Below are 13,420 nucleotides of genomic sequence, written 5' to 3'. Positions count from 1 at the left end.
CCAGGATGAAAAACCACTGGTTCCTGAGAGCGGTGATGGTGATGGGCTGTGGGGACTCTGACCTGCTGTCAGATTTCTGGGGTCTCGCCAATCTCTGGACCCCCGTCTGAAGTTACCCATGTGCTTCTCTCTCTCTCTCTCTTCTCTCCTTCAGGTGTTTACAAAATATGGGAAGTGTTACATGTTTAACTCAGGCGAGGATGGCAAACCTCTGCTCACCACGGTCAAGGGGGGGACAGGCAACGGGCTGGAGATCATGCTGGACATTCAGCAGGATGAGTACCTGCCCATCTGGGGAGAGACAGGTGAGCTGGGCACAGGGACCGGGCATTGGGTGATGGTGGAGGGTTGCAGGCCTGACTCTGAAAGGCTGGTGAGCTGTCTTGGCCCACCCTGTGAGGGACTGCTCTCCAGCAAGGGGTTTGTGACATGCTGCTAGATCATAAAGATGTCCCTGGCTTGGGCTGGGATGCCCTGGGTTTCCTCACCTTTTACTATGTGAGAGAGGGACAGAGGATGGGAATACTGGAGAGGTAAGGTAGGTAGGGGGAAGGAAGGCATGGGGGAAGGTTTGAAGTAACAGGTGTGGTTGGTCAGGTGAGTGGCTTGATTTCAGGAGAGGCGGGAAGGATGGATCAGCCTCTTTCTCTCTCAGTCATCCTGAATATCCCGACCCAATTAGAAGATCTGAAAGGAAAGCAGGCTGCCGCCCACTGGGGGAAGCTGGAGGGGCTGGGAAGTGTTGGAATACCAAAGGATGTGGGTTCAGGGACCTGGCACCTTGCCTGTGCCTATGTAAGCCCCTGGGAGACCCATGTGTATAGACCCTAAAGCTTATTTCATGCATTCATTTATTCATTTATTTCTTCAGCAAACTATTCGTAAACCATGTATACTATCTCAGGCTTTGCACCCAAGTAAGGACATTATGGTGAAAAAGATCAAGTCCTTGATCACGGCCCAGAGGAAGAGACACAATCACAGGGAACAGGGTCAGGGAAAGCACCAAGGGTATTTGAGCAGGGTCTTGAGATGGTCTTGGATCATCCAGATGGGCCTGATGTAATCACAGAAGTCTTCATAAGAGGGGCTCAGGAAGGTCAGACAGAAGAGAAGGCAGTGTGATGACGGAGGCAAAGACTGGAGTGATACAGCCACAAGCCAAGGAGTGATGGTAGCCTCTAGAATTTCACCAGGAAGAGAAGGTAAAGAGGTGCCCAAGACTGGGAACCATGGATTTAAGGGGGACCCAAAGTAAGATTAATGCTGCGTTCAGGGCATAACAGGAAGGACTGCAGAGGTGGGTCAAGAGAGGAGCGTGGGGAGCAGCCTGCAGGGGAGTGGGAGGGGAGGGAAGATTCCAGCAGGAGGGAGGCCCTGGGCCCTCAGGTTGGGGCTGAGGAAAGGGTGGAGCCCCAGTAGCCCAGCCCCTACCTGTTGCCACCCCTGTGCCTTGAGTCCATTGACTTTGGACTCTAGAGTCTGGCACTCACCATACCCAGGCTTACCAGGCTGCTGAGACAGCGAGGGCTTCCACCCCAGGAGGACTGACTGCAAACTCCAGGATCTCTCCCACCACCCCTCTCTCACGAACACCCCGTTGCAGGGACGGGAGTGTGGCCATTTACCTCCCATCACAGCCAGTCCTCTGCTCCTCCAACTGAAAGATAAAATGGCCACACACATGTCACTGCGCCAGTGCCATCTGGAAGCTCACCTCAGGCGCCAGGGCACCCCGAGCCCCATCAGCCACTCTCTGAGGAGACACTTTGTTGATCCTGTGTACTTTTCTCAACTCAATGCCCTTCCAGATGCAGAGGGACGAAGGTTTGTGTCCGTTCTGATCTCTGGCATCCCTGAGGGCTGGTGGACAGGGCATCCTGAGGCCAACCAGGCCCTGGGACCGTGGGGGCCTGTAGACAACCCGGAGTCCAGGGGGTGGAGTCTTGGTCCCCAAAGAGAGGCCCTTCTTGCAGACACCAGAACTTATATGATTAATCTAATCTGTGTGGTAGAAGAGAGAAATAAGGAAATAAAATGAGTCATGGAGACCCCACACTCAAAGCCTAAACAGAAGTTAGTTATGTCCCTCCATGACAATGGTAGCTTTCCTAGCCTGTTATCTTGATTCAGGAGCAAAAGCACATGTACACACACACACACACACACACAGACACACACATGCACTCTCAGTACCAGACCCCCATCACAGACATCCTCACACAGCACAGTTCCCTGTGGGATATGGCCTTGGTCTGAGCACTGGCTGCAGTCTACAAGGCTACCCAAAAAGTCTGTGTTCTGCCTCAAAGCCACAGATGGTCAGAGCAGGAAAGAACCTCTGAGGTCATCTCTTCCAGGCCAACCTTCTCTTTCCCCTGAGGCCTGGCTTGAAGTAATGATGTCTTTGAAGTCATGCAGTGAGTTCATAGCTGAACCAAGACTGTTCTGACCCAAGTTTTTGGACCCTCAGTCAACCTGACTGGATGATGAGCTATACCAATTCAGAGAAAATTCATAATCTTGATTAAGGACTTGTCACATGCTAACACTGCGCAGGTCATCATCAGGGGTGCAGGAGGCATGAGAAAAGACCCCATCTTTCAGGATCTTATTATCTCACTCGGGGTGCCAGATGTGCACACAGTTTCTGCAAGAGAACTCCAGTCTCGTTGCTGCTGAGAGTTTGAGTCATCCCTGGGAGATGGACCAGCACACTCACTTAGACGATTTCCTTTGAGACTGGGGAGTTGGGGAAGCAGGCTGTATGAAGAACGGGTTTAAAGCAGGGGCAGGGGATGGATGGGGCAGAAGAAACAGGTTAGAGAAAAATCTGATCAGTGCTGTCCTATAGACCCTTCTGGGCTGATGAAAATGTTGTCTGTCTGCTCTGTCCAATACATTAGTCACTAACCCCTTGTGGCAATCAAGTGTTTGCAAGGTGGCTAGGAGAATGAGGAATTGAACTTTTTTATAATTTCAATAGATTTTGGGGGAACAGGTGGTGTTTGCTTACATGAATAAGTTCTTTAGTGGTGATTTCTGAGATTTTATTGCACCCATCACCCAAGCAGTGTACACTGTACCCAATGTGTAGTCTTTTATGCCTCACCCACACCCACCCTTTTCCCCAAATCCCCAAAGTCCATTGTATCATCCTTATGTCTTTGCAGAGGAATTGAATTTTTAATACAGTTTCATTTTTATTCATTTAAATTAGCTAGCTGCAGGGGGCTAGTGGCTACCATATTGGAGAGCAGTTAGTATATTTGAAAACAGCTTCTGACAACTCTGGTTGACTTCATGGATTTTGGCTTTTGCAGCCACCTCCCATATTCCTCGGGTCATACTATTCCATATTCCTGGCAATCCCCTCACCATGACCTTGAGTGTCAGGCAGAACTCCTTGTCCCCATTTTCCAGAAAAGGAGGCTGAGGTTTTGTCACTTCCCCCAGACCCCTCAGCCAGACCCTTGAATTCCTGCATTAGGGCTCCCTCCATCGTACCTTTCTTCAGGCTGAGAAGGCCCTGAGCAATGTGCTGCCTCTTGCAGATGCTGGTCACCTCAAAGCTGCTTATTTCCTAGGCCAGTGGGAGGTGAGTCCCATGCGGGTGAGAGAGAAGCCAACACATCTGTTGAAGGATGGGAGGTGGGCTCTCGCAGGTGAGAGATGCTTGTCTGTAAAGCCACCTGAGGAGGCGCAGACACACGTGGCTGCTTGGTCATTGATCCCGAGGATGATGGACACAGCCAGGCCTATCCCTGCCACAGTCATCAGGAGGCAGCCTTCCTGCCCTGCCAAACCATGCGGCCCCACAGATGCCATCTCCCTTCCTTAACATTCCCACCTCTCAATCCCCAGAGGAAGGAGGCCAGGCCCAGGAGTCCAGGAGATATTTGGGTGGTGATGGAGAGGAAAGGAATTGAAATGTGCCCGTGGCAGTTTGATGTGTGCCCAGGCAGTTTAATGATGGAGGCAGTGTAGGAAGACAGAGAAAATGGCATGACCAGGTCAAGCAGACCCAAGACCCCATCCCAGCTCTTCCTTTCCTAACTGCGTGACTCAGGCCAAGTGAGTGAGCCTCTGTTTCCTCGTTTGTAAAATAGAGACAAATAAAACCCACTGGCTTTACAGGAGGGCTGAAGGGCTCAAACGAGAGTTCTCTGCAAACTGTAAGCAATGAGAGGGTGATCATGCCCACCAGCAGGTGGGAAGATGGTCAAAAAAAACACTCCAGAAGCAGAGATTATTCCAAATATCCCACACCTAAGACAGAGCTCTGCAGCACCTCAACATCTGGAACTCCCATTCTGCTCAAAGCAGAGCCTCTGGAACACTTTTGCCTTGCCTTGTGGATGGCTCCACTTCTCAGGAATGTCAGGAAGCAGGGAGGGAACCACTCTTCTGGGGATAATTCTAACTAACAGGAAGGACCTTTTGGGGAGGTGGTGATGGTGTTGACCACCATCAACACAGAGGACACCAAGGAGTAAGTTAACAAAAGACACCCTCTTTGGGTAGACCCAGCCCTATGGGCTCATGGTTAGTGAGTAGACAATGACTCTATGAAAATTATCAAAAATGTCCCTTCCTCCAGGCAGACAATGCCCCACACCAAGGTGCTCCCCTTGGTCACACATCTTCATGTGGGGCACCGTGATAATATGCCATTTTAAAGGAAGAGGTTCAGTTGCATGTGGTCCTAGAGAGTATGCCCCAAAACGAGCCCTATGGAACATCAGGAGTTTGGGATATAACATGTTTATGAACAAAAAGGATGCAGGGCCCAAAAAGAATTTAGGGAATTCTGGTTAAAAAATATTAAACACATTTATTCATTGCAGGAATTCTTTAATATAATACATCATGAATCTCCAAGATAGGAATAGCCAAGGCAGCATTTATTTCCCAAATGCCTTTGACCACAGAAACCTTCGTTTTCATGGAAAAGCTCACAGAATATAGTTTTGAAAAAGCTGTCCTAGACTGTAGAAGTGCAGATTTCATGGCCAGGGTTTTCCAACGGAAATTAAATTGAAGGCAGAAAGGGAGGTTGTTAAAAATGAAATTCTGTGTAGATACCTCTAAGTAACTTCAAAGATAAAAGGAATAGGCGGTGGGTTATCTAGGTTGCACATGAGAAACCTGAATCAAACAAGCTTAGGCATAAAAGAAATTATATTGTTCTCAGAATCCAAGGCAAGCTTCGACAACCAGCCAGCAGGAGGGGCAGGGATACAGCCTCAGGAATGAGTGGAACCCAAGGCTCCTAAATCCTCAGATCTCTCACTCCTCCTCCCTCTGAATTCTTTTCATTCTGTCACTAGAAACAGGCTTATTTTTCCCACACACATATTTTTTCACACATGGCTCCTAACAGAGCCTAAGTTTTATATTTTACAGATCCTGCCCCCAGCAAAAGACTGTTTTGACTCTCACAGACGTCCTGTTTAGGGGAAAAAAAAAATACAGGGAAGGGAATCATTGGCTCAGCTCCAGTCAGGTGCCCGCCCCTGGACCAATCAGCAGTGGGCAGGGGAATTAGTTCACCTGAGACCCTGTAATAGTCCTAAAGAAGTTGGGCCGATGGTGGTTGCAGAAGGCACTCCCAAGAGAACTGCTAGACAGACAGCCCTGTGGATGGCCACACTGAGTGAGTGGGGGTGAGGGTGAGAATTGAGGGTGGGTTACGTCTGAGGAAACCGGAATCCGTGTACAGGGAGTTTTCTAACAAATTCTAAAAGGGTTCGAGTGTCAGAAAGACCACAAATAGGCACCTCCCTTTCACATCTCCTTCTATCCTTCATGCACTCCAATGAAAAACACTTTTTTATCAAATACAATCTGCCCTGATTTCCCCAAATCCTAGTGTTAATTAGTGTTAACATGATAATATGTCAAGTATGCTTTTGAGCAAAGGAATGATTTTTTAAAGCTATGCTGTTCTCGGGGTAAAGATTTGGACCCCAGTATCCCTCCAGCTTCCTCAGCTCCTATTGCCCTCCCCTCACCTTGTTAACCTGGCTCTAGTCACACAGGCTTCCCTGCTGCTTCTTGAATATTCCAGGAACACCCTCACTTTGGGGCATCTGCATTTGCTATTAACCGCTATGAGAATTCTCCTTGCTCACATATCCACATGACTCACTGCCTCCCTGCATCAACTCTTCACTCAGATATTACCTTCTCAATGAGGTCTCCCCTGACTACCCTGTTTAAAATTGCCACCCTCACCCCTACTCTTCATCCCTCATCTTTGAATGCTTTGCTGCTTAGAAATTTCTTCCACCAGATACTCTAAATCGTCTCTCTCAAGTTCAAAGTTCCACAGATCTCTAGGGTGGGGACAAAATACCACCAGTCTCTTTGCTAAAGCCTAGCAAGAGTGACCTTTGCTCCAGCTTTCAACAAGTTCCTCATCTCCATCTGAGACCACCTCAGCCTGGACTTCATTGTCCATGTCACTGTCAGCATTTTGGTCAAAGCCATTTGATGAGTCTCTAGGAATTTCCAAACTTCCCCCATCTTCCTGTCTTCTGAGCCCTTCAAGTCTCTAGAAAGTTCCATACTTTCCCACATTTTCGTGTCTTCTTCTGAGCCCTCCAAACTTGTCCAACTGCTGCCTGTTACCCAGTTCCAAAGTGTTTTCCACATTTTCAAGTATCTTCATAGCAATATCCCACTTTACTGGTACCTATTTACTGTATTAGTCCATTTTCATACTGCTATGAAGAAATAACCAAGACTGGGTAATTCATAAATAAAAAGAAGGTTAATGGACTCACAGTTCCACATAGCTGGAGAGGCCTCACAATCATGGCAGAAGGTGAAGGAGGAGCAAAGGCACATCTTACATGGCAGCAGGCAAGAGAGTGTGTGCAGGGGAACTCCCCTTCATGAAACCGTCAGATCTCATGAGACTTATTCACTATCACAACAACAGCACAGTAAAACCTACCCCCATGATTCAGTTGCCTCCCACTGGGTCTCTTCCTTGACACGTGGGGATTATGGGAGCTACAGTTCAATATGAGATTTGGGTGGGGACAAAGCCAAACTATATCACCTTCATTTCCTTATTGTTTTTTATTGTCTGCCCCTTCCACTAAACACAAGTCCCAGGAAGTCAGAGACCTTGGACTGTCTGGCTCACAGATGTATATCAGGACACTACATATTTGTTGAGAGGAAACACAATGCTGAAATTGTGTACACTGCCAGGGCCAGGGTGAGGGAGAAGCCTGCATTAGTGAGTAGCTACTCTGTGCCATGAACCTTCCCAATCACTTGCTAACAAGGTATTAGAATCCTCATTGTAGGATGAGGACACAGAGCCCAGAGAGGTTGTAAGCTTCCCAAGGGTACATACCTAGTTAAGCAGTTGAACCAAGCTTAAAACCCACATCCACACCCAAAAGGGATGCTCCCTCCACTAAATTCCTTTAATGTTCACAATGTGGTCATAAAAGCCCTGCCATGAAAATAGCACAGGGAAAGAGGTTTAGGCAGCATCTCTGAAGAGAGAATGGCATATAATGATAGGTCTGCTGCCATCCTCCTTGTCTATTTTTTCCTCTTTTCTTCTTCAGGAGCAGAATCATTATACTGAATGAAAGCTTTAGCGCAGTCCCACGTAGAAAACAGACAAAAGCAACATGGCTCTGATCCCACTGGAGATGGAAACCCCCGTTTGCTTTCTCCCTTGGTCCCTGTGACCAACCCTGAGGCACCACTGAGGATGCCCTGTTTGAAAACCACTGGATGGGAGGCAGATGTCATTGGGATTAAAAGTGCTGGTTGGTTCCATGGCTGTGTCCATCCCAGAGACCAACTTGAAGCATCCCTCTCCCTTTTCCTGGGGTGGTGAAAGAAGCTCATGACCTTTCTGCAGCACACCAGAACTGCAGGGAAGCTGACATTCTAGGCTTCTGATTAAACATGGTAGGTTGAACATATGTGTTTATGGGAGGCCCCCTTCCTAGACCCCACCTAAATGGCAATCGAAGGGTTTTTTTTATATATGTAAGTATAAACCCAAAGGACAAAGAGGATGGGAGAAAAGACAACCGTAAATAGATGCCAGCCAATTTTTGGAAGATGTAAAGTAGATGGACGAGTGGCAATCGACTTGGCAGATTACACGAGGCTGAGAACTGAGGGCCTGCACTGAGGAAGCCAGCAAAGGCCAATAGACATCATTTGAGAACCCCCAGACAGGATCGGGAATTAGAGGCATAAGATACTGCTGAAGACAGGTTTGAGAGGTGGAGGTAAAACCAGGAGGAAGAGTTAAAAGTCTACAAAAGGAACTATTAGGCCCCCCACACATCCTCCCATGGCCAGAAGCAGCCATACAAATATCCCTCTTACAAACTCGGGACTTGGAGAGATCAGGCACAGCTGAGGGCATGGGTGAGGTGCTATGCAGAAAAACAGGGAGGTGAGGGAAATTCTACTTCCTGAGTAGTGGGACCCTCAGCCAGACTAATTTACCCCACCCACACCTGAGCAGAAGTTTGAGGGGATCCCTTCCTGGAGACTACAAGCTCAAGATAAAAGATCCACAGATAATGACAGTCAGGAAGCCTTAAAAGGCCTAGTTAGGTCACCCTAGAATGAAGTCCCTTGAGGAGTGCCCCCTCAACACAAGGAAGCCTTTAAGGACCTTTTACCCCTGAATGAGCCACCAAAGAGCCAAGCATTTGAGGGGACCCACTAAAAGGCAATGAACACAAATCAAACCAAAAAGAAACATTGAGGAAATAGACACATTGGCTAACAGCACAAGATATAGAGCCAGGCTGCTTGGGTTCAAATCCCAGCTGTAACACCATCTGTGTGACCTGTGTTACCTCTAAAATGAAAATAATAATATTATCTACATTTATAGGGTTGTTGGGAGGATTGAAGTGCGTTAATATTTATGAAGTGCTTAGAAAAGTGCCTGGATAATATTAGACACCATATACGCCTTTTGATAAATAAAAAATAAATGAAGGAAGCAGGAGAAAACATCAAAACACGTTAATTAAAATTCTCAAGAGAGATAAGAGATGATACTGCCTCCATAACCACAAGCATAGGATGCTATTAAAAAGGAAATTTCAGAGAAGAATAAATTAAACTTAAAATATGTGGCCGGGTGCTGTGGCTCAGGCCTGTAATACCAGCACTTTGGGAGGCCAAGGCGGGCGGATCACGAGGTCAGGAGATCAAGACCATCCTGGCGAACATGGTGAAACCCTGTCTCTACTGAAAATACAAAAAATTAGCCGGGCGTGGTGGTGGGCGCCTGTAGCCCCAGCTACTCGGGAGGCTGAGGCAGGAGAATGGCGTGAACCTGGAAGGCGGAGCTTGCAGTGAGCCGAGATCATGCCATTGCACTCCAGCCTGGGCGACAGAGCGAGACTCCATCTCAAATAAATAAATAAATAAACAAACAAACAAACAAATAAATTTAAAATGTGATTGCAAACTTTTTTTAATCCATAGAAGGATTGGAACTGAGAACATCTCCCGAAAAGGTTAAACAAAAAGACAAACAGGTAGAAAGTGAGAGAAAAATAAGAAAATCAGAGGGTCCATCCAGGAAGCTATTCTAGAACATCCTATTACTAGGAGTTTTAGAGTAATAAAACCAAGAGGATGGAGAAGAGGACACTGTCAAAGGACTAATATAACAAAAATCCTCAACTGAACTACATGATTGTCCAGATGGAAAAAGCTCACCAACTCCTGTCTGCAATAGCGTCAAAAACAAAAAACCAGACCAAGACACATCCTGGTGAAATTCAGGCTAACAGAAATAAAGAAAAAAATCTTTAAAGTTTCTGGAGAGAAAAATAGTCACATACCTGGGATCCGGAATGAGAACGACCTAGGACTTCTCAACAGAAGCAGCCAAAGCAAAGTGACAATGGCAAAATGTTTTCCAGTTTCTGGAGGGGGACGCTTTCTTTTCTGAATAGAATTCTATATCCAGCAAACTACAAATGAAGTGTGAGAGTAGAATTTGGTTTCCCAAAAAATGTAGACTTTTTCAGGAAGTTATTGGAGAATGAGAAGGTAAATCAAGGATTGCATAAGATTCCAGAGACAAGGATCTGGCCTAAGAGAATTTCCTGATGAGGATGAAGAGAAGAACCAGGACAACAGTTGCACAGGAGGCCTGGAGAGCATTCCATCCAAACTGGAGCAGGAAGATGTTGGATCCACAAGGGATGGCCCTTGTGGGTCTGTCTGGCTGTCCTGAGAGGCATTTTACAGCTCTGCCATAGAGTCTGGGATTTCTAGTGATGGGTACTAGCAAGCCATACAAACCAACAAGGAAAAAGCAAGGTAAAACAAAACAAAATGGAAAAAAAAACAGGAAAAACAAAATATTTATTTCGCAAGAGAGAGATCAAAAACATTATATACTGCAAGGCTGGGCTGTGCACAATATTTACAGAGTCATGGTTATGTAAAAGCTGGATACTGATTTAACCAAAATATCATATCACTATATTTGGAGGGTGAAAGGAAAGGCAGCATCGTGGAACACATCATCTAAGAAGCCTACATCCTCATCTTCTGTGATTAGGTAGGAATTGTGCAGATAATATAATATGATTGTAGATGATTCCTACATGGTAGAAATTGGGTAGACAGGATCTAAAATTTTTTAAAACCAAGAAATAAATCTCAAGCAGTTGACATTCATGGAAATATGAAAGTAAATACCAGAAGAAACAGCTAAAACAGTTGAAAGTTGTTGCTTCTGAGAAGTAGGACTCGGGGGTAGGAAGAGGTGGAGCAGGAAACTGCTGGTTTTCATTAGAAGCCTTGCAATACCACTTGATTTTTAAATTATGTACATATATTGCTTTGATAAAAATAATAATTAAATTTAAAATCATCATAAATTTTTAGCATAGCTGGAAGGCCTGAGCAGCTATCACGGGTAGCACGTTTCTTATCCCCCTTTACAAATGGGGCAGAACAAGCGTGGGTGATGATGGTTGCTATGGTTTCTCCGACATCTCTGCTCCCAGGAAAACCTCTTGTCATGGTGCCAGGTCCTAAGGAGCTCCCCAGAATGAGAGGAGCAGGCTCTGGCCTGAGTTCCGAGTGTCCAGGGCACAGGAACCTACAGCAGCCAGCTGGGATGTTAGGCTCACTCTCAGAGTGGGCCTCTGTGCTGGACACAGGGACTCCACAGGTGTCCGAGGACTCTAAAGAAATGATGCCATAAATCAGAAACACCACTGGAGGCAGGTATCCATTTAGCATGAGAAGCAGCCTGACTTTTTTCATTCTGGAAAGATGTGCGTAATGCACATGCTAAGTGTGATGCAGAAAATACGTGTGTTCTAGTTAAAACTCCCAGCTGGTGCAAGGGTCTGAGGAGAACAGCTAGGAAGCAGATGAGACAGCCCCAACCTCAGACCTCATGTCCCCAATTTAGTGAATCTCAACTGCATACCTACTGTGTGCCAGGCACCTCAGTGATACAGATGAAGGGCCCAGTCCAGGTTTTCGAAGTTTATAATCTAGGGAATATCTGAAGGGCTCTTTTTAGATGGTAGATGGAAATGTATTCACCCAACAACTTTCATATAAAGTGTCCAAGGAGTGCCAAGCATTTGCAGTCTGTTTGGGGAACGTGTCAACTATTAAGTGTCACCAAGTGCTGTGATAGAAGATAGATTGAGAATCTAGAAGGAGATAGTCAGTTCCAGAAGGGAGGGGACAAGCGTATCTAAAGGAAGGCTTTAGAGAGAAGTTGACCTTTGGTTTTAGTCTCAGGCCTGTTTGCCAGGTTGCTGGGCAGCGTGTGGGAGTTAGAGGAAAATCTGAGGACCTGGAAAGCTGAGGTCCTGAGCAGAGGGAAGGGAATGAGGACCAGAGGCCAAGAACAGCCCAGAGTGTGCAAGGGCATCTGTATCTAAGGATGAGACCTGGGGTTGGAAAGATAGGTAGAGGCCAGATCACCAGGGGCCTATGTGTTCTGCAAAAATGTAGATATTCTCTTGGGAGTCCTGCTAAAGTGTAATCCTCTGACCAGCAGTATCAGCATCACCTGGGAGCTGGTTAGACGCATAGAGTCTCTGCCTTCCCCCACCCCCAAGTCTGTGTTGCAACAGGATCCTCCAGGAGATTCGTGTGCACATCCAACTGTAAGAAGCTCTGATCCAGACCACTGTTCCCCACCATTTGGAAGAATGGGGATGTCTTCTTAACATCAAAATATTTCTCAGCCAGTATCCCACATGAAAGCTCTTGTGCTTTTTTAATTCATTGAGAGAATATTGTATAACAAAAAATTGCTATGAATCCAGTAATGCTTTGGATGATTTTGAATTCTATAATCACATCACAATCTATATACATGAGCCACTCAGCAGTCTGGTTGTACCTAACTTCCACCATCGGTGTGTGTAAACAGAATTTTTACAAATGGAATCTTAATCATCCACCAACTTTCCCTATAATTTTAGACACTTTCTGATGGCATTTCAAGGGTGATAATCTGAACACCAGTTACCCACCCAGAATCATCAGCCTTCTTATCAAGTAATTTATAATCTCTGAGACTGAATGCACTAGGAAAACTCATTATTTAAAGAATGCTTGAGATAAATCTTTTGGTAATGAGACTACCCCCAACTCCACACACGGTGCTTTCACAAATACATATTTTGCAAATATGCTGTTTAGCAGGAATGAAAGTGTAGCCACATTTCTCAGTTGCATAACCAAGACCTAACATTAACTATCTCCTTCCCCAACATGGACGCATCACCCCACAGTGTATAAGGTGCTTTCCCACATTCCAGCCACTGATCCTCATACACTCCTATGATGTAGACAGGGCAGTTCTAGTCATTTAACAGATTAACTCATTTTAAAATGCGGTAAGCGGCTGGGTGCGGTGGCTCATGACTATAATCCCAGCACTTTGGGAGGCTGAGGCAGGTGGATCGCCTGAGGTCAGGAGTTCGAGACCAGCCTGGCCAACATGGAGAAACCCCGTCTCCACTAAAAATAACAAAAATAACAACAACAACAAAAAAAAACCTAGCCGGGCATGGTGGTGCATGCCTGTAATCCCAGCTACTCGGGCAGTTGATGCAGGAGAGTCGCTTGAACCTGAGAGGCAGAGGTTGCAGTGAGCCAAGATCACGCCATTGCACTCCAGCCTGGGCAACAGAGTGAGACTGCATCTAAATATATATATATTTTGTTTTTATATATATATTTTTTGTTTATATATTTTTGTTTATATATATATTTTGTGTATATATATATTTTGTGTGTGTGTATATACATATATATATATACTGTAAGCAGAGACATTGAGTGACTTTCCCACAGCCTCATGGCTAAGAAGTAGTAGAATAGGATTTGAATCCACATCTTCCGATTTGGTCCTCCT

At 46.0% G+C, this 13,420-nt stretch overlaps 1 protein-coding gene and 1 long non-coding RNA gene across 4 annotated transcripts in view; one reads left to right on the top strand and one right to left on the bottom strand.

The window, feature by feature from the left end:
- Positions 1-216, bottom strand: part of ASIC2-AS2 (ASIC2 antisense RNA 2) — a 40,225-nt gene extending 40,009 nt beyond the window's left edge. The window contains exon 1 of one of the 2 annotated variants that reach the window (XR_934686.3): positions 63-216. This is a non-coding gene — a long non-coding RNA (ASIC2 antisense RNA 2). The remainder of the gene's footprint in view (positions 1-62) is intronic. The other variant, XR_001752836.2, reaches the window with a different exon arrangement.
- ASIC2 (acid sensing ion channel subunit 2) overlaps positions 1-13,420 on the top strand; it is a 1,143,682-nt gene that overhangs the window by 1,044,547 nt on the left and 85,715 nt on the right. For both annotated transcript variants that reach the window (NM_001094.5, NM_183377.2), the window contains exon 2: positions 155-305. In NM_001094.5, the coding sequence (NP_001085.2) occupies positions 155-305 (151 nt within the window). The remainder of the gene's footprint in view (positions 1-154; positions 306-13,420) is intronic.

This window comes from Homo sapiens, chromosome 17 (genome assembly GCF_000001405.40).
Source record: "Homo sapiens chromosome 17, GRCh38.p14 Primary Assembly".
Classification (NCBI taxonomy): domain Eukaryota; kingdom Metazoa; phylum Chordata; class Mammalia; order Primates; family Hominidae; genus Homo; species Homo sapiens.
Note: the sequence above shows the minus strand (reverse complement) of the source record. Positions and strands in the feature narration are given on the sequence as shown.